This window comes from Homo sapiens, chromosome 4 (assembly GCF_000001405.40).
Source record: "Homo sapiens chromosome 4, GRCh38.p14 Primary Assembly".
Taxonomy (NCBI): domain Eukaryota; kingdom Metazoa; phylum Chordata; class Mammalia; order Primates; family Hominidae; genus Homo; species Homo sapiens.
In genome coordinates, this window is record NC_000004.12 from 37,842,591 (window position 1) to 37,863,794 (window position 21,204).

Consider the following 21,204-nt stretch of genomic DNA (forward strand, 5'->3'; position numbering starts at 1 on the left):
CAACAATTTCTAACATTAATCAAGTGCTTATTATATATCAGATAACTGCTGGAGGCCCTTCACATGTCATTTTTTTTCTTTTTTTTTTGAGACAGGTTCTCACATTGTCACCCAGGCTGCAGTGCAGTGGCATGATCTTGGCTCACTGCGGCCTTGACCTCCCAGATTCAGGGAATGCTCCTGCCTCAGCCCTCTGAGTAGCTGGTACTGCAGGTGTGCACCACCATGCTCTGCTAATTTTTTGTATTTTTTTGTAGAGATAGGGTTTCACCATGTTGCCCAGGCTGGTCTCGTATTCCTGAGCTCAAGCAATCCACCCGCCTCGGCCTCCCAAAGTGCTAGGATTAGAGGAGTGAGCCACTGTGCCCGGTCAACATGTAATTTCATTTAATCCTCAGAGTAATGCCAGTAAATTCTGGTATATTATCATGCATGTTATAGATGAAAAAACTACAAGGAAGAGTGGTTAATAGCCAGCAGTCACACAGCTTATAGATGGCAAAGCTCCAGGATTTAAATTCAGAGTCTGACTCCAGAGCGTGTTAACCACTCAGCATTATTACTTCTGTGTTCATCTCCCATTTCAAATTAGATCAACTTCTGAACTCTCTATTCTGTTCCTTTAATCTGCCTTTTTATGTCTAGTACCAAGCTGTTTTAATTACTGTAGGTTTATTATGTATTTTAAAATCCAAGAGAGTTGTTTTTCCAGATTTTTCTTCCCTAATCTTACATATTTATTTTCCAAGATGCATTTTATTTTCAGGGTATGCTTGTTTTAAACCACAATTCTCTTAGATAAGACCTTGTTCATTTATTCATTCCCAAAAGAAATGGATAATAACCTAAGATTCCAGCCATCAGAGCACTGGAAGTTTTTAAAGCCTTTTATTTTTCTGTAACTTCTCCTGTTAATTTTGGTATCTGTTGTTAGTCTGTATAAAGTCCCTAAGTCATGGCATGGTATCAAACAGGATTGTTACTTGGCAAACAAAAAGTTTTATTTATTTATTATTATTATTTTTTTTTTTTTCCTGAGACGGAGTTTCGCTCTTGTTGCCCAGGTTGGAATGCAGTGGCACAATCTCGGCTCACTGCAACCTCCACCTCCCAGGTTCAAGCGATTCTCTTGCCTCAGCCTCCCAAGTATCTGGGATTACAGGCATGCACCACCATGCCCAGCTAATTTTGTATTTTTAGTAGAGATGGGGTTTCTCTGTGTTGGTCAGGCTGGTTTTGAACTCCTGACCTCACACGATCCACCTGCCTCGGCCTCCCAAAGTAAAAGTTTTATTTTTTATATCTTTATGTATGGGATAACCCAACACATTTTGTTAAAAAGGACATTTTGAAAATCATTTCTGAAGCTGATAAAAGACATTTGGGAACCTGTCGCTTTGGGGATGTGTGGGTGTGTGGAGCCCTGGAACTGTCCCGGGCTGGCTGTAGCACTGTCAGGGCACCTGTCAGGCCAGCAGTGAGTCTCGTGTGGGAACATGAGCTTGAGGTTCTTCTTTGTATCTCACTCTAGATGGGATGCATAAAACAAAACCTGAAATAATCAGATTTGCTGAAAATAACTACAGAGTAGAATTTAAAACTTGAGTATGTTGAGGGAAGGAATATATATATCTGGGAGAGAATGGATACGTTTTGTTTTTCTGAAATGGAATTAGAAAGATGTTCAGTTGTCTTGTGCATTCTTGCAAACCTTGCAGTTTTGAGAGCCCTGTTTCTGCCTTGTATCATTTTCCACTGTGTATCTGATTCTAGGAGCGTGAACAGGGAGACAAAGGTGAAGTTTGTGCACACCTCTGTCCATGGGGTGGGTCATAGCTTTGTGCAGTCAGCTTTCAAGGCTTTTGACCTTGTTCCTCCTGAGGCTGTTCCTGAACAGAAAGATCCGGATCCTGAGTTTCCAACAGTGAAATACCCGAATCCCGAAGAGGGGAAAGGTGTCTTGGTAACCTAATTTTTTTTTAAATTATGAAATCTGCTTTTATATTCAAAACTATTACTGTCAAGTAAAATACATTTTTATGTGTTTTCATTGTGCTGAAGAAAAACTAATTTCAGCATGGAAATATGTATGTTTGGCTGGGTGCAGCGTCTCATGTCTGTAATCCCAGCACTTTGGGAGACCAAGGCAGGCAGATCACTTGAGGTCAGGTGTTCGAGAACAGCCTGGCCAACATGGCAAAACCCTGTCTCTACTAAAAATACAAAAATTAGCTGGGTGTGGTGGTACATGCCTGTAATCCCAGCCACTTGGGAGGCTGAGGCGCTAGAATTGTTTGAACCTGAGAGATGGAGGTTGCAGTGAGCTGAGATTGCACCACTGCACTCCAGCCTGGGTGACAGGGTGACAGAGCGAGACTTTGTCTCAAAAAAAAAAAAAAAAAAAACAAGAAGTATGTATATTTGTTAGTCATTAATTTCTTAAAGGATCTTTCAAATTAAACACCCCAGGATCAGGATATGAGAACTGAGCTCTAAATGGTGCTTCAAATTCAGTTAATTTAATTTAATTTAATTTGCCGTGTCTCCTTAATGCCAAAAAGAAGCAGTAATAGAGTGAAACTTTAGCAGGTTATGATTTTTATTTCTTGTCATTTTTCTGATATGAAGTGTTGCTTACATTATGGTTTCTGTAACATTTTTAAAGGTTGGGGTAGCAGTGGCATTCAGAGAATCAGTTTATTTTGTTTTATTTGTGAGGCTGATCACACAGCAATGCCCCGAAATACCAGTCCAACCACAGACCTACTGGCGCATGTGCAGCAGGCACACTGGTAGGCTTGGGTCACACACCGATGCTCCCATTATCTGACCTCTGACTTAGGAAGATACTATGTGACCAACCAAGACCAGCTGCAGCTTTTGTTTGCTAAATTTCACTTCTGGAGCTGTCTTGGTTGGTCCTATATTATCTTTCTAAGAGGGGAAAGACCTCTTGAGTTCTTAAGGAACTGAATGTTTTTAAAGACTATCATATGCTCGATTCTTGATTAAATAATCTTTTATTTTCATATTCTTCTTCAGACTTTGTCTTTTGCTTTGGCTGACAAAACCAAGGCCAGAATTGTTTTAGCTAACGACCCGGATGCTGATAGACTTGCTGTGGCAGAAAAGCAAGACAGGTAAAATTAATTGTGATTACCTATATTATAGAACATATAAAGGATGATCTCTTCATTGGTAAAATGTTTCTGGGGAGACGGGACCTATTTGGAAACATTTCCCATTTATTTTGCAAATGATCATTTCACTGAACCTCCTGTAGAGTCTTCTAATGGAGAGCAAGATAGAGATCTAGTGTGGGGGGAGGTTACGTGATTGGCAAGCATAATGCAGAGTAAATCAACCCAGTATATATTTCAAATTGAAACTCCTATTTGGGAACTTCTCATTTTGTAATTGATCTTTTTATAAGTAATGTCTCAGTGTCTAATGAGGGTAAAGCACTTTGGTGCTAGCTGTATGCTTCAGTATTTGCTGAGGGGTTTAGGAGGGAGCAGTACCTTCAAGGAGATGCTGAATTTAGTTTGGACAGACCAGGGAGGAATTCCTGTGGGGTATCGGCACAGTGTTTAAGACAAGTCTGACCAGAGAGTTTGTACAAAGGAGAAGTAAGTACGTGGGGCTAAAGTTGAAAGGTAGGCAGGGCCCAAGCAATTTTGGGCGTCAGGTAGCCTATGTGATGTTTTGGGGGCAGGAGGGTGCTGCTGCTGAAATGGTAGGGTTTTCAGATTGTGATAAAACAGGTTCCATTCTATATCAGTGTTGAGAAAGTTAAGCTAAGATGATACGTCCTGATAGGTGAGATTTACTTCTAGCCATCTGGACTGCCAAGAGAAGCAGAAATTACACATCTTTTCTCTGATGTTCTGACCATTTAGGACTGAGCTTGATCTTAAGGGGTACTGAGCTGTCCCCTCTCAGAATCAGCAATACTGACCAGTCCAGAAATTGAGATAGCAAAACTTACTCTATATATGGGGGATCTTGCCAGCATATTTGTTATATTTAAAACCAAAGGCTTTGCCAAAGATTAATATAGAGCCATTGTGTGTCATGTGTGACATACTTATTTTATACAGTCTTCAAAGACAGGATGTCTGTTCAGGCAAACTGGCTGATATATATGGTAGCTGCTCAGATGTTTGTAAAATGGCAGTTACATTTCTGACCAGTTATTTAAAGATGATGAATAACAAGAACAGCCTTGCAGAAAATACTTAGATGCTTTGTTTGCTAAATTGTTTTATCCCCATGACACTTTAGAGTCTTCCTTAAGATTATGGAAATGAATGGTGGTTGTTGTTTTTTTTTTCTTTCAGTGGTGAATGGAGGGTGTTTTCAGGCAATGAGTTGGGGGCCCTCCTGGGCTGGTGGCTTTTTACATCTTGGAAAGAGAAGAACCAGGATCGCAGTGCTCTCAAAGACACGTACATGTTGTCCAGCACCGTCTCCTCCAAAATCTTGCGGGCCATTGCCTTAAAGGAAGGTTTTCATTTTGAGGTAGGGTGTTTCTGGGACTCACTCATTTTCCTTTCATCTGCTCTGTAGAAGATCTAAGGCATGTCTTTCTCTTTTGGATTATCCCTTTAGGAAACATTAACTGGCTTTAAGTGGATGGGAAACAGAGCCAAACAGCTAATAGACCAGGGGAAAACTGTTTTATTTGCATTTGAAGAAGCTATTGGTAAGAAGTGATCATGAACATTAAGGAATTGGCTGCAAGGCAAAAGGAAAAGGTTTGGATTGGGATTCAAAGATCCACAGTGAAACACGGTTTATTTTGCCTCTCCAGCACTCAGGTTGAATGTCGAACTGTCCTACTCCAAAATTGACATCTCAGATGATTTACAGCCAAAAGGAATGTCTTAAAAACAACTAAGTCATTCATGTCAGAATCCTTTGCCTGGATGACTCAAAACAGTGACATTGTATGCTTGGCTGCCGGTACATGTATTTTGGGAGTTGTGATGTTTCCTCCACTGTGGTGGTTAATATCCAGGCCTAAACACTGTGGTATTTAATGTCCCTCCTCCTCCAAAAGTGCTAATGAGGATCTATGCTACGGTCTAGCCAGAGGAAAGGAGAAGGAAGGCATGGTTTGCTGCTGTCATCAGAATGATACTCACCCAAAAGGATGACCCAGGTCCAGCCAGAATGACAGAAAAACCCTTGTCCTAAACTGTCAATATAAATGAACAGAAAGGAGAACTAGCTATAGAAATTTGAAACTCACATTGTACCAAACGCTTTTAGCTATTAATTTAGTAAAAACTATTATGCATTAGATTTATTTATATTCATTTGTATATTCTCTGCAACACTAACACATGATTTAACTAATCAAAGCATAATCGCTCAGGTTCTGCTCTTTTATTGTCAGATTTGGCAGACTTGTCTTTCCGTAGCTTTTTATTTTAAGAAAGATTTTCTTTCATTTATCAAGTATTAATTGCATGTCTATTACTCAGTGACTCTAAAAGAAATGGATGGCACTGACCTTAGCCTACAGCAGCTTAGATAGATTTAGTTAAGTAATCACACACAAGAGTAGAGGCCAGATGTCAAAATGAATAATGTAACTAACAAATACTATTGGGATTCAGAGAAGAAAGAGATATGTATTGACTAGGACAATTAGAAACAATTTCATGAGCTGGAAGGAGTTTCATGACTCTAGTGATTGAGCACCATGTGGCCAGGAGGGAAAATCTTGCAGGTTCTTCAGCAAATACTTCTTGAAGGCCTGCTATGGGCTAGGCACTGGGCTAAATTCCTAAACATAAGGTATTAATGAGAAATGTGCATACACGCAACACTGTACAACCTCTAATATGCAATAGCCAGGATTCATACTCATATGTGGTTTGACACAGTATTGTATAGATGTATGTATGACGTGTGTTTCTGCAGGATACATGTGCTGCCCTTTTGTTCTGGACAAAGATGGAGTCAGTGCCGCTGTCATAAGTGCAGAGTTGGCTAGCTTCCTAGCAACCAAGAATTTGTCTTTGTCTCAGCAACTAAAGGCCATTTATGTGGAGTAAGTTGTTATTGACTCTGTTGGATTGAAATAATATTTTGAAATGTTCTATTATATACTTATGCATGAGATACTAATATCCTTTCTAATGCTCTTATTTTGGTGATGAATTCTATTTCTTATAAAAATTAAATAAGGCTGGGCACAGTGGCTCATGCCTGTAATCCCAGCACTTTGGGAGGCTGAGGCGGGTGGATCACCTGAGGTCAGGAGTTCGAGACCAGCCTGTCCAACATGGTGAAACCCCGTCTCCACTAAACATACAAAAATTAGCTGGTTATGGTGGTGGGCACCTGTAATCCCAGCTACTCAGGAGGCTGAGGCAGGAGAATTGCTTGAACCTGGGAGGCAGAGGTTGCAGTGAGCCGAGATCGCGCCATTGCACTCCAGCCTGGGTGACAAGAGCTAAACTCTGTCTCAAAAAAAAAAAAAAAAAATTTAAAAAAACTAAAGAGATCACCTTTTCCTTTTGATATGTAACAAGTTAGTAATTACTATTCCCGATCGCATTAATTCTTAACAAATGACAACATGAAAGAATGTGATTTTAAGTGTCCAGTATCAAAAAAGATTGAATGTCTTCATAATACATCTATTCATTTTTTTGTAGCACTTACTCAACTCTGCCTTGCCAGTGTAGTGCGTAAGCATCCAAAGAGAATACAGAAATGCGTGTGACCTGGCTCTCTGTGCAAATGCAGGCGGAAGACCAGGCAGTCATTTGGTGATCCCTGGGGTAGATTGTTGGACCTCTTTTTTTTTTTTTTTTTTTTTTTTTTGAGACGGGGTCTTGCTCTGTCACCAGGCTGGAGTGCAGTGGTGTGATCTCGGCTTACTGCAACCTCTGCCTCCTGGGTTCAAGCAATTCTCCTACCTCAGCCTCCCGGGTAACTGGGATTATAGGTGTCCCCACACCTGGCTGATTTTTGTACTTTTAGTAGAGTTAGGGGTTTCACCATATTGGCCAGGCTGGTCTCAAACGCCTAACCTCAGGTGATCCACCCACCTTGGCCTCCCAAAGTGCTGGGATTACAGGCGTGAGCCACTGTGCCTGGCCTAGACCTCTGTTTTAATGGTCTTTTAAAAATTATTCCTTTGGCGTCAGTTTTGGCTGTTACATTTATTTTATTATTTATTTTATTTTATTTTATTTTTTGAGATGGAGTCTCTCGTTGCCCAGGCTAGAGTGCAATGGCACAATCTTGGCTCACTGAATCCTCCACCTCCTGGGTTCAAGCGATTCTCCTGCTGCAGCCCTCTGGAGTAGCTGGGACTACAGGTGCCTGTCACCATACCCGGCTAATTTTTGTATTTTTAGTAAAGACGAGGTTTCTCAATGTTGGCCAGGTTGGTCTCATACTCCTGACCTCAGGTGATCTGCCCGCCTCGGCCTCACAAAGTGCTGGGATTACAGGCGTGACCCACCACACCCAGCCATATTTATTTTAGAATACACTGGTTGGTACATGTTCTGTGTCCACCCTACAAAATTATTTGTTCCTCATGTGCATGAATTTGTATTTGTTTGATAGGTATGGCTACCATATTACTAAAGCTTCCTATTTTATCTGCCATGATCAAGAAACCATTAAGAAATTATTTGAAAACCTCAGAAACTACGATGGAAAAAATAATTATCCAAAAGCTTGTGGCAAATTTGAAATTTCTGCCATTAGGGACCTTACAACTGGCTATGATGATAGCCAACCTGATAAAAAAGCTGTAAGTAATGTCTTCTCTTTTCAACTAACCTCTTTTCTATTTACCTTTTAAAATAATTTGAATAAATTATTTAACCATACAATTAATTGAAGCTGATTTTAGGCACTTAGGCGTGATTATAAATAAGCTATAAAAAATATATGGAAGCCGGATGTGGTGGCTCATGCCTATAATTCCAGCACTTTGGGAGGTTGAGGTGGGCAAATCACTTGAGATCAGGAGTTCGAGACCAGCCTGGCCAACACGGCAAAACCCGGTCTCTATTAAAAAATACAAAAATTAGCTGGGCGTGGTAAGTTAAAAACCGCAGGCTAGAACTGAAAGAGACTCTACTAGGCTGGGAGCGGTGGCTCACACCTGTAATCCCAGCACTTTGGGAGGCCGAGGCAGGTGGATCACTTGAGGTCAGGAGTTCAAGACCAGCCTGGCCAACATGGTGAAACCCCATCTCTACTAAAAATACAAAAATTAGCCAGGTGTGGTGGCTCATACCTATAATCCCAGCTACTCAGGAGCGTGAAGCAGGAGAACTGCTTGAACCCAGGAGGCAGAAGTTGCAGTGAGCTGAGATTGCACCACTACACTCTAGCCTGGGTGACAGAGCAAGACTTCATCTCAAAAAAAAAAAAAAAAAAAGAGGAACTAGTCATCAAAGCCTGTGTGGTCATTTCGCACCTTAGGCAATAAGTGATCAGAAGTGTGGAACCTGTCTGTGGACACAGAGCTTAGTTGGTGGTGGTCCAGGGAGAATCTGGGTTTTCTATCTCAGGATCCAGCATTCTCTCCCTGTCAGGAGTTCTCACACTTGCAGGAGCATCAGTAACCAAGAAGGCTGGGGAAACAGAGTGCTGGAGCCCACACCTGGACTTTCCGATTCAGTAGGTCTGGGGTAGGAGCCAAAAATGTTCATTTCTAACAAGGTCCCAGGTGGTACTGATGCAACTGGTCCTCACTTTGAGAACCACTGTTTGTTTTCTAGTTAGTGTACTCTGTTCTCTGAGTGTATTGGAGCTGTTGGCTGTAAAGCCTGAGTTTGCATTCTTTACACCAAGCAGATCTTTCACTGGAGACAAAAGAAGACACAAAGGTAGCAGAAGAGTGTTGCTTTCTATGTTGGGGTTGGGGGAGGAAAGTTAAGAATATCCTTATGAGATGTTAGGCACGTTCTTTGATATTTTCTTTGTTCTATTTTTCATTTTCATCTGCACACAGCATATTTTTAAAATAGAAATAGTATGAAAACGCTTACGATGAAACGTGGCAGTCCCACCCCTGCCACCTCATTGCCATGTCACCAAGACTAGATTTGTAAATCATGTGCTCATATAGTGATGTTTTGATATACCAGTTTTACAATTTGTTGACTTTCTATTTTTGAGATAAAGATTTAGTTCTTACGCTTTCTACATTCAATAATTCTCTTCTCCCCATCCTCACAGTACGTTTATGCCACAGCTTTTGGTTAAATCAGATTCCGTGCTTTTGTTATTATGACTAGTAACTGCTGTTGCCTGCTAGCTAAGTAGTGTATTTTGATTAGGTTTCCCTAATTTGTATAGAGAATTGTATTTCCTGTACCTTTTGTTTGTTTGTTTTCTTTTTTTTTGGAGACAGGGTCTTGCTGTGTGACTTAGTCACTTAGGCTGGAGTGAATGGCATGATCACAGCTCCCTGTAGCTTTGACCTCCCAGGTTCAAGTGATCCTCCCACCTCACCCTCCTGAGTAGCTAGGACCAAGGGTATGCCATCATGCCCAGCTCTTTTTTTTTTTTTTTTTTTTTTTTTTGGAGGGACGAGTCTCTCCCTAGGTTTCCCAGGCAGGTCTCAAGTGATCCTCCTGCCTTAGCCTCCCAAAGTACTGGGATTACAGGCGTAAGCTACTGCGCCTGCCTTAATTCATGTAGTAATAGTTGCTTTGTTCTTCCATTTGCCTGGATTTCTATGTCCTGTCAGCAGTTTTTCCCAAATCCTTCAAATGCCTCTCAGTAGGGTTTTCCTGGTCCATGTCCAATGGCCGCCCTCCTGGTTGGGTGCACAGCTGTCATCCTGGGAATGCCCTTCTCCAGGATTGAGTCCCTTGCTCCTAGACCTCATGGCTTCCTCTTTCTATATTTATTTTCCTAGATCACATCCTCTAATAGCTTTCTGAGAACAAGTAATTGGGTGGTAAGTTTTTGGTGGCATTTAAGTCCGAAAATGTCTTATTCTGTCCTCACACTTCACTGACTCACAGTTTTGAAAGCATTGCTCCATTATTGTTGGGCTTCCAGCATTGCTATTGAGCCTCCAATCCTTCCTTTTTCAGCAGATAGTTAAGGCCTACTGTATGCTGTATGTAAGGTTATTGATGCCATACTTATTCAGTCCTTTCCATGCAACTTGTTTTGTTTGTTTTTTTCCTCTGGGAAGATTTTAGGAACTTTTCTCTAAACTTCAGGTTCTAAAATTTCACAGTGATATGCTATAGTATGGGTCCCTTTTTATTCATGTTTCTGGATACTTGGTCTGTAGAATCATTTATTTTAGTTCTGAGAAGTTTTCTTGATTATGTATCAGGAAAGGGAGCTAATTGGTTATTTTTTAAAATAATCACCTCCCCTGCATTTTCAGTTCTTTGTTTCTTGAAGAGCTCTTAGATGCTGGCTTTCCAAGACTGATGTTCTACTTTTCTTGTTTCTTTCTTTCTTCTTCTGTTTTTCTGGGAGATTTCCTTAGCTTTAGCTTTCAGTGCCTCTGTTGGCTGTTTCAGTTATAACTAATTTATTAAAAATAGTGTCCTGTTGAAACAGTGTCTTGCTCTTTCACCCAAGCTGGAGTGCAGTGACATGATCATAGCTCACTGCAGCCTTGATCTCCTGGGCTCAAGCAATCCTCCTGCTTCAGCCTCCTGAGTAGCTGGGACTACAGGTGTGTGCCGCCATGCCCAGCTAAGGTTTTTTAGTTTAGTAGAGACAGGATCTTGCTGTGTTGCCCAGGGTGATATTCCTTTTTTTTTTTTTTTTTTTTTTTAATGTAAACAATATCTTACCTCTCTAAGGATTATAGACCTAATTATAGTTTTTTAAAAATATATGTCTTCTTTTTCTGCTACATTCTCTTTATTTCCACCAAGTTCTTTTTATTCTGTTTGTTTTGGACTTTGTCTTTTACATGATGTCTTTCCCCAAAAGTCTGATGATCCTTAATTTTCCTTTGGGCACCTAAGAACTGATTGGAAGCTCTGTGTACATATGCAGATCAAATGACATACTTCACTCAGAGGATATTGGTAGCAAGTTAACTTTATAAGGGGATCCCCCTGATTTAATGAGACCTTAATCACCTACCCAAGGATGATAAGATGAGATGCCAAGGCCCTGGAGGCATGACTGGGGCGGAGCTGGGGGTGTCAGCCTGAGGACTTCTACTTGATCCCTCTGTTTTCATCATGCCCTGCCCAGGTTCCCCAACTCCTGAATGTTTCTGATTTAATCTCCAGAGAATTTAAACCATCTCCTGCAGAAATGGAGAAGAGGTGGTTCTGTGACGGTGTGGGCTCAGGGCAAGGAACCGGGATGGTCTAAGAACTTCTTTCAAACCCTGTTCCTGCTTTCCACCCCTGCCTCACATCTGCCTTTTGCAGTACCTGGTGCCTCTGGTTCTTGAGCTTGGCCAGGATTTTGCAGAGCACCTTGCCTCAGTTCTCATCCATGTCTCCTTCCGCAGGCACTCAGATTTCATTCTCTGGGTCCCACCAGACCAGTTCTGTGCCTCCATCTGTTTTCTGACTTGTGCGATCGGTTGGCAGCCCCATCAGCTGCTACCTCCTCTTTGTCTCTTTGCCCGTGTGTTTATGCTATTCAAAGTACCTCTATTTTAATGGAGTTTTGGGACCTATCAAATATAAATATACCATTTCCTCAAGACCATTTTTCTTTTCTAACCAGTAAATTTATATGGCATTTATTTTTTCTTACAGAAGCTTCCTTTTTTTTCTCTTTTTCTTTTCTTTTTTGGAGGCATAGTTTCACTCTGTTACCCAGGCTGGAGTGCAGTGGCGCAATCTCGGCTCACTGCAACCTCCACCTCCCGGGTTCAAGTGACTCTCCTGCATCAGCTTCCTGAGTAGCTGAGATTACAGGCACCCGCCACCATGCCTGGCTAATTTTTGTATTTTTAGTAGAGACGGGGTTTTGCCATGTTGGCCAGGCTTGTCTCCAACTCCTGGCCTCATGTGATCCGCCCTCCTCGGCCTCCCAAAGTGCAAAGTGCTGGTATTACAGGCATGAGCCACCGCGCCCAGCCTGGAAGCTTTATTTAAAAAAAAAAAACAAAAAAAACTCCTTATGGAATTTTCTTTGCAAAGATTCACTTTATAACAGTAAATATAATCTAGTTTGAGGTTTTTTTTTGTGGTGTATTAATCTGTTTAAGTCAATATCTTGTGAAATGATGTGTTTAAATAAAACTTTAATAACTTCAATAGAACTAGGGAAGTAAAAGCTAATACACAAAGTTACTTAATTTTCTTTATTTAAAATTAATTTAGTTATGTTAATTCACAAATAAAAATTGTATACATTTATGATGTACAATCCGATGTTTTAAAATGTATACATTGTGATAGCTAAAATCAAGTTAATTAGAATGTGTTACCTCACATATTGATCATGTATTTGTAGTGAGAACACTTAAAATCTACTCTCTTAGCAATTTTCAAGTATACAATGCATCATTATTAACTATAGTCACCGTATTGTACAATAGATCTCTTGAACTTCTCTTCTGTCTAGCTGAAACTTTAGGCCCTTTGACAAGCATCTCCCCAAACTCCCCTCCCTTATCCCCACCCTTCCCCAGTCAGCCCCTGGTAACCACTATTCTGCTCTCTGCCTCTGTGAGTTCAACCTTTTCGGATTCCACATGTAGGTGAGATCATGCGGTATTTGTCTTTCTATGCCTGGCTTATTTCACTCAACATAATGTCTTCCAGGTTCTTCCATATTGTTGCAAATGACAGGATTTCCTTCTCTTTTAAGGCTGAATAGTATTCCATATAGTAGACCACATATTCATAAATTACTATCGTTTAGTATTTCATTCATGTGGAGTACATTTTCTGATTTCCTCCAGAATGTTTTTCTTTTCTAACCAATAGATTTGTTTGGCATTTATTTTCTTACTTATGCAAGAGAAGATATTGGTTAGGCCAGAATGTTACTATTTAAATTTATAATGTGTGCATTAATTCCTAGGTTCTTCCCACTAGTAAAAGCAGCCAAATGATCACCTTCACCTTTGCTAATGGAGGCGTGGCCACCATGCGCACCAGTGGGACAGAGCCCAAAATCAAGTACTATGCAGAGCTGTGTGCCCCACCTGGGAACAGGTATGATGTGGATGGCAGCTGGTGTGATTTTTACTCCCCAGACTTCCTAACTGGTTCTATTCAAATGCCAAGTGAAATGTTCCATCTTTCTAATAGGTAATTTAATTAGAAATGCTGTTTCAGAACCTGCACTAATATTTTGGTATTAACAGTCAGTCTCAGCATCCAGGGAAAAGCTTACTTTTTACTTTCTTACTTTTGTCCTAAATTTCTTTGTATGGGAAAATTTTATCCTTATTTCAGTATAGTAGTAAAAGTGCCTTTTTCTAAACACTTTTCATTGGTAGCTAACACCAATGAGATTTTCTCTTTTTCTCAAACTTCAGTCTTCCCATGTCTCTGATAAAATAAATTATAATCCGGGCCGGGTGCGGTGGCTTACACCTGTAATCCCAGCACTTTGGGAGGCCGAGGCAGGCGGATCACGAGGTCAGGAGATTGAGACCATCCTGGCTAACACGGTGAAACCCCGTCTCTACTAAAAACACAAAAAATTAGCCGGGCGTGGTGGCGGGCGCCTGTAGTCCCAGCTACTCGGGAGGCTGAGGCAGGAGAATGGTGTGAACCTGGTAGGCGGAGCTTGCAGTGAGCCGAGACTGCGCCACTGCACTCCAGCCTGGGCGACAGAGCGAGACTCCATCTCAAAAAAATAAATAAATAAATAAATTATAATCCATTCCACATGCATTCAAGAAATATCTTTGAGTACCCATTGTAGACAGGTCTGTGCTGGGTTCTGGAGGGGGCACAGAGAGCCTCATCAGAGAGAGTCCTTGCTGCCAAAGAACTGATGGGCTGGTAGCTTCAGGTTCAAGTTTCTGTGACCTCAAAAAAGTGTTTGAGTTGGTCACTCTGTAACAACTTAACATTTTGCACCTTAACAAGCTCAGTGCTGTCCTTAGTGTGTGTAAGTGTGATACTGCATGCCTATCCAACATGCCGTTAACCAGCATTTCCCTATTCAGAATACAGTTGAAAATCAGGAAAAGTTTTTGTGAAAGGTGAATTAAGTCAGTGCTGTCTGACAGAACTAAAATGCAATCCACAGATGCAATTTTGATTTTCTACTTGTCACCTTTTAAAAGCGTAAAAAGAAACAGGTGAAATTAATTTCAATAATGTATTTTACTTAACCTAGTATATCCAAAAATTATTACAACATATAATCAGTATAAATATTATTAATGAGATGTTTTACATTCTTTTTTTTTCCTCTGGAAAAAAGTCCTCAAAATTGATTCAGTAATTTTACACTTACGGCATATCTCAATTTGAATGCTCCATTTTTATCAGAAATACTTGATCTGTAGAGTTAATAAAATTTAGATTAGACAAAGTAGATTTTAATACCCAGATTATTCCAAACATACTTGTTTTCTAATAACTGAATCAAGTATCAGTTTTAAAACTTGAACTCAATTAACTGAACTTCATAAAATTAAAAATTTAGTTTCTCAGTGGCGCTTGCCACATTTCAAGTTCTTAGTAGCCACATGTGTCTAATGGCCGCTGTAGTAAACAGCACCCATCTAGGTAATTGTGACAACATAGACAAACCAAAGCTTTGCTCATAGAAGAGTTTTTCCAGCCTCGTGAATCAAACTTGTGCAAATAAAAGCAGATGAAAATTCCTGAGCATCTTAAATTGCCAAGCTAGTAGCAGATTAAATGTAGCAAATTAGAGGAATGGGGAAGTATAACAAACTTTTCTTAGGCAAGGAGAAGTGACTGCTGATAGCAAGAAAGGAAATATTAAAACAAAACAAAACTATAAAACGTGGACACAAGGACTTAGAAAGCTCACCACTCCATGAGTTTATCATGAGGGAAATAGCATTCTACACCCAAGTGAGCCCAGAATACAGCTCCACTCCAACACAGTCATGCTTATGGCTCTCAAATGTCAAGATGTTCAATAAAGAGATATTTAAGAAGTCATGGGACTATGTAATATATTTTCACTATGGATTCCCATTCAAAACCTTTTTGTGCTTAAAGTGCAAAAACTCAACTATTAAGTGAACATATAAAAGCTCATTTTCTAAGAATTCTGGATTACCAATATTTTATTGTAATATTATGCAAGAATCTTGTTTTCGTGTGCATTAGATAGTAAGCTCTTTGCTGCTATATTGCATATAGTTTTTTGTAAACATTTCTTTATAATTCTTGCTTATTTAGTGTTTTCTTATTTCTATGTTTCATTCTTTTAAAAAGAAATGGACAGTCCAACTAAACAGTCCAACTTAAGGATCTGTTTTTTCTGTATCTTGTCCTTTCCTTTTCATTATCTGATGAAAATATATCTTATACTTCGGAAAGCTTTCCTTTGTAATGATAACACTATTTAAATGTTTAAGGCTTTATGGTATTAACATTTTTCACATGGCTTATTGAGTGGACTTAAATTCAAATATTAGCTTATAAATTAGTGAAAAAAACCTTGAAAATTTGTCCTTTTATTATATGCATTGAAACATTGCTTCCATTTATTAAATGGGACATTAAGCGCTATGTCAGTAGATGGATATGTGGTCACGGCTTAAGCAAGGCACCAGCATACCTAACGTACAACAGCAATAAAGTTTTTTTTGTTTTGTTTTTTGTTTTTTTTTTAAGACATCTCTCTCTGTTGCCCAGGCTGGAGTGCAATGGTGGAATCTTAGCTCACTGCAACCTCTGCCTCCTGGGTTCAAGCGATTCTTGTGCCTCAGCCTCCTGAGTAGCTGAGATTACAGATATGCACCACCACACCCAGCTAATTTTTTGGTGTTTTTTTTTTTTTTTTAGTAGAGACAAGGTTTCATCATGTCGGTCAGGCTGGGCTCGAACTCCTGGCCTCAAGTGATCTGCCAGCCTCAGCCTCCCAAAGTGTTGGGATTACAGGCGTGAGCCACTGCACCAGGCTAGCAATAATGTCTTCACTAAGATTTCCTTCTTTCCTGAAAAGCTTAAATATTATTAATATGCTTTATGTCATAAATTTCAATTATTCATAGAATTTCATGGCCTTCTAATCAACTAAAATGGAAAATCCTTTTCAAGTATGTGCTGCTTTAAAAATATATTTTTGTCAGGGGAGATGTCCTTAGTTTTGTCCAACTTTTTTATTTTGAACAGTTTCAAACCTACAGAAATGTTGGAATAAGAATGCAGTGAATACCCACACACCCTTCACTTAGACCAAACTTTGTATGTAAAGAGCCAGATAGTAAATATTTTAGGATTTGCAGACATGTGATTTCTGTCACCACTACTCAGCTCTGCTAATGTAGTAAGAAAGCAGCCATATGTATAAAGGAATGGGCAGGGCTGTGTTCCAGTAAAACTACATGAACCACAGTTTGTTGACCCCAATCCAGACTGAGCAATTGCTAACATTTTGCAATATTTGCTCTCTCACCATATATGTTATGTATTTGAGATTTTTCTGTACCATTTGAAACACTCTGTGATACTTCATGACACATCATAAGACTTCATGATGCTTCACTCCTGATATTTCAGTATGCATCTCTTAAGAACACTCTCTTAATATTAAGGCAAATAGATAATAATGGTACTAGGCAGGTTTCCAGTGGACCAACAGAAGCAGTAGAATGTACCTATTAAGAGATTGTTTGCAAGGAATCAACCTGTGCAATTGATTGTAGGGGCCAGCTCGGCAAGTCTGAAATCTGCAGGGCAGGCTGTCCAGAAAGGGAGCCTGGAATTCTTGGGCATGGGTTAAAGTTACAGTCTACAGGTGGAATTCTTCAGGAAAACCTCAGTTCCATTCCTGATGCCTTTCAGATAGAATCTAGCCCATCCACATTGTCTAGGATAATCTCCTTTACTTAAAATCAACTGATGATAGATATTAATCACACCTACAGGATACCTTCACAGCATCACAACATTAGTGTTTGAATAACTGGAGACACTATCCTAGCCAAATTGACACCTAAATCCCCAAAAGTCCCCAAAATAGCTGTTTTCTCCCCAATTTATAATCAAATCAAGAACACTGCATTGTATTTACTTGTCGTTTAGCTTAAATGTTTTTTCATGATGATTAGAGAAAAATGATACTTTCCTAAACATTCTGATAAAGAGATCCATCTAGATTCTTTTCAGAAACAGGAATTCCTAACCCTGGCTTAAATGATTATAGGATGTGTCCTGTTATTTTTAAAGATGTTATGAAATATTCTCAAGCATTAATTTAACAAATGGAACAGTTATCGATTAGGATGGAGAATAGTAACACAAAATTTTTGTTTTAAGAATTGTACCACTAAACCTTACACGGTGGTACTGATTTCTTTTTCACACATAAAATGCAATATCAAAAACATATCACTGCATACATGAATCGTAATGTTCACTCATGTCATGATTAAGAAATAAATTTGAATAATAAATTAGTAATCAGTAAATTCACCAAGTTTTAGTTTTAAGTATACTTTAAAAAATGATTAGCTTACATGCCTTCCTGAGAACTGTTATTTTCTTCAAAGCACATTTATGGAGAAGGAAAAGAAAACTGATATAATTCATATGTACTTAAAAAGCATAATTACTTTATATGTTGCCAGTAGGGATAAAAATAATTATAATGATAGCTACATTTATTGAGGTCTTTGGGCCAGGTTCAGTGCTAATTGCTTTATATAATTTATCGCAATCTGTACAGAAACTCTCTTGAGAAGATAAAGTCTTTATCCCAATTTTACAAATGAGGAATCTGGGCCTTAGAGAGGCCAAGCCACTTGCCCAAGGGCACAGAGCTAGTAAGTATAGAGCCAGAATTAATGTCTACAATGAAATGGATTGCTTTAGCTATTACAGTACTGTTTAGCTATTACAATGTTGAAATGATTTTAACTAATTATAGGGATTTCCATTAAAATAAACTCTGCATATATTAAAGATGGTATGAAGAGTATGAAGTAATGGAAAGTACAAAGGATTTAGATTTTTAAATTTAGCTTTTTGGTGTTAAGTACTTACAGTACTCACACTAGGCTACTTAAGATGCTGGAAACCTCTTTAACTGCAAGTCAGCTGTATCTGTTACTTAACCTTTCAAATGTTTGTATATAAATGAGTGTTGCCCACAGCCCTGAAAACTTGATTTTCTTAAAGGGATTTGTCTCCCCAGATTCTTGTTTATACTTCAGTTGTGAATCTTTGGTTCAAGAAATAGATTCATTATGATATGACCACAGGGATCTGATTTCTTGGTGTTTGACTCCTCAAACCCACCCGGAGGCTCCCTATTGCTGTTCATTCTAGGAAGGCTTTATAGACAAGGCTGGAGCTTAGGTGCCAGTAGTTTGAGGGCAGACATCATCACAAATGTCTGTATTCTGGGAGACTGAGGAGTTAACAGAGATGTTGTTTATAAAAGTTTAGCAGGATTTAATGGCAACTGACATGAAAGCTTTCTCTACACCCTTAGGTACAAATATTACAGATCTTTTAGGGATGCTAGGCCAAAAATTGTGTTTCTTACAAAGTCTTATGAGAAGAGCAAAGGATAACTTTGTTTATAGTTCAGACATTGGAAAAATCTTTGGGAAAAATAATGCATATTGTCTCATGGGGTGTTTTGTCTAAGTCAATAGATGTGTTCCATGCTTAAGTCTCTGGAGTTCTCTTTTTTTTCCTATTTAGTCCTCTTCTTAAGGTTATATTTTCATTGTCACTTGGTCAATGGGGGGAGCATTTAAACTGTGCTTTGGAATAATCCCTTGACCTGGATTTTTTTCCCCCTTATTTTCCAGTGATCCTGAGCAGCTGAAGAAGGAACTGAATGAACTGGTCAGTGCTATTGAAGAACATTTTTTCCAGCCACAGAAGTACAATCTGCAGCCAAAAGCAGACTAAAATAGTCCAGCCTTGGGTATACTTGCATTTACCTACAATTAAGCTGGGTTTAACTTGTTAAGCAATATTTTTAAGGGCCAAATGATTCAAAACATCACAGGTATTTATGTGTTTTACAAAGACCTACATTCCTCATTGTTTCATGTTTGACCTTTAAGGTGAAAAAAGAAAATGGCCAAACCCAACAAACTAACATTCCTACTAAAAAGTTGAGCTTGGACATATTTTGAATTTTTGTAAGTGAAGATTTTTAAACTGACTAACTTAAAAAAATAGATTGTAATTGATGTGCCTTAATTTGCATAAATCATAAATGTATGTCCTCTCTGTAATTGTTTTAATGTGTGCTTGAAATATCCAGAAAACCTATGGAGTTAGTAAATTCTGGGCTGTCATATGTAGGATAGCCACTTTTTAGGTATATGTACATTTATATTTCTATCAATTCCTTAGAAAGTAAAATAAATGAATAGATCAAATGTTGTGTTCATGTTTGGGGAAAATATAATTTGCAGAAACCTATGAAGTAGAGCAAAGATGCTTTAAAAAGATAAGTTTTTTTGAACTAAATTTTTTTTAGTTCTAATAATGCACATAGGATATTAGTACATCGTACACGTGCTAGGAAAAAACAGCTTCAGTGTCTTTGTTTAATGTGTTGAAACTCATCTTTTTAAATCTTGAAAAACCAATTGTTTACTTGAAACTTGAAAGTAGCATATTTTTCTGTTTTTTGGTTGTTTGTTCATTTGTATTAGCACAATTTAATGTAATTCCTGGTTTGGAGGCAGCAAGACCTATGAGCAAGAACTATTTACTTGACCCTCGTTTTTTTCTCTTGTTCTTGTGTGGTCTGAAATCTAAAACTAGACTTTATTATGATAGATTTCCTATAAGCCAATTTCTAATAACAAATAGATTTATTATTTAATCTGTACCTTCTATCTTCTCATAATTCGTGGTCTTACAGCCTTCCAAAATAACTCCAGTTGGGCACCCATGAGCTAGGATCAAACTTTCTTTATATACTTTATATATTTTACATTATTTCTGATTTTTAAAGCAAATGATTGCCATTATGATTACACTCAACCTAAATAGTTATGAACAGTTTCAGAACAATGAAAAATTACAATACTATGTGATAGTATTGTAACTATTTTTCTATTTTAGTCATATGTCGCTTATATCCTACCAGAACTCTTAAATCTATAATATTCGATATATTCTACAAACTGCTTTATTGTAGAAGCCATATTTATGTTTATTTTATAATGTTTTCTAGTGTCAAACTGTACTGTGGAGAAAAGAAATGTTAGATCTGTGTTCTGTCTGCATTTTTTTTGAGTACATACCCTTCACCCTCTCATGGAGTTTGTTTCTGGAAATACGAAGTTGATTATGACCCAATCCTGCTATGATGGAACTCAGTCTGATTGGAGGGCTAATAAGTAACAGCAATACTTACAAATTCTATCATAGTGTTTTTTACAAGTATTCAGCGTTCAGAAATCTGAGGGAGGGATTCATGCTGCCCAAAGAAAGCCTCATAGATGAGGTGCTGAATGAAATGCTTCACCCTTAGGGATGAGGAGCAGCTGAAGATGGGAAAGAAAGCCTTCCAAGCAGAGAGCACAGCACGGACAAAAATGTGGAGGCTGTAGCAAGTGGGGGTAGGGGAAGCAAGGGGAGATGACGAAAACAGAAGCCAAGATGGAAACTTTAGAATGCATCCCACCTCTCTACCACTCACATGAGCGGATGATTTCACTGGACCTAGAGGGGATGCGCCCGAACTCTATTTGTCGCCCGTATTTCTAAGAAATAGCTCATCCTGGCTGTTCATTAGGTATTTCTCAACTTCTTCCTGTTATGGAATGTAGGGTAGCCCACCTGCTGCATAAAGCTGGCAACAATAAGGCCACTGGGTTTTAATCTTGGCCTACTGTGAACCAGCTCTGTGACCTTGGTCACCTCTCAGAGTCTCAATTTTGGTCATGTTTTAAAAAGACTTTTTAAAGGGCGGTTTTAATTTCAAAACAAAATTGAGAGGAGTGTACAGAGAAATTCCATAAGCCCCACCTGCCCCCACACATACGTTGCCTCCCTTTATGTCAACAACCCCCACCAGGGTGATACATTTGGTATAATTGATTAACCTACACACATCATTATCACTTAA

General features: G+C 38.9%; 1 protein-coding gene across 2 annotated transcripts in view; it reads left to right on the top strand.

The window, feature by feature from the left end:
* The window catches only part of PGM2 (phosphoglucomutase 2), a 36,252-nt gene extending 15,905 nt beyond the window's left edge, over positions 1 to 20,347 (top strand). For both annotated transcript variants that reach the window (NM_018290.4, XM_047415895.1), the window contains 8 exons: positions 1,774 to 1,963; positions 3,043 to 3,140; positions 4,341 to 4,521; positions 4,612 to 4,705; positions 5,932 to 6,061; positions 7,594 to 7,783; positions 13,018 to 13,151; positions 18,920 to 20,347. In NM_018290.4, the coding sequence (NP_060760.2) occupies positions 1,774 to 1,963; positions 3,043 to 3,140; positions 4,341 to 4,521; positions 4,612 to 4,705; positions 5,932 to 6,061; positions 7,594 to 7,783; positions 13,018 to 13,151; positions 18,920 to 19,022 (1,120 nt within the window). In that variant the 3' untranslated portion in view covers positions 19,023 to 20,347. The remainder of the gene's footprint in view (positions 1 to 1,773; positions 1,964 to 3,042; positions 3,141 to 4,340; positions 4,522 to 4,611; positions 4,706 to 5,931; positions 6,062 to 7,593; positions 7,784 to 13,017; positions 13,152 to 18,919) is intronic.
* Positions 20,348 to 21,204: the final 857 nt, after the last annotated feature.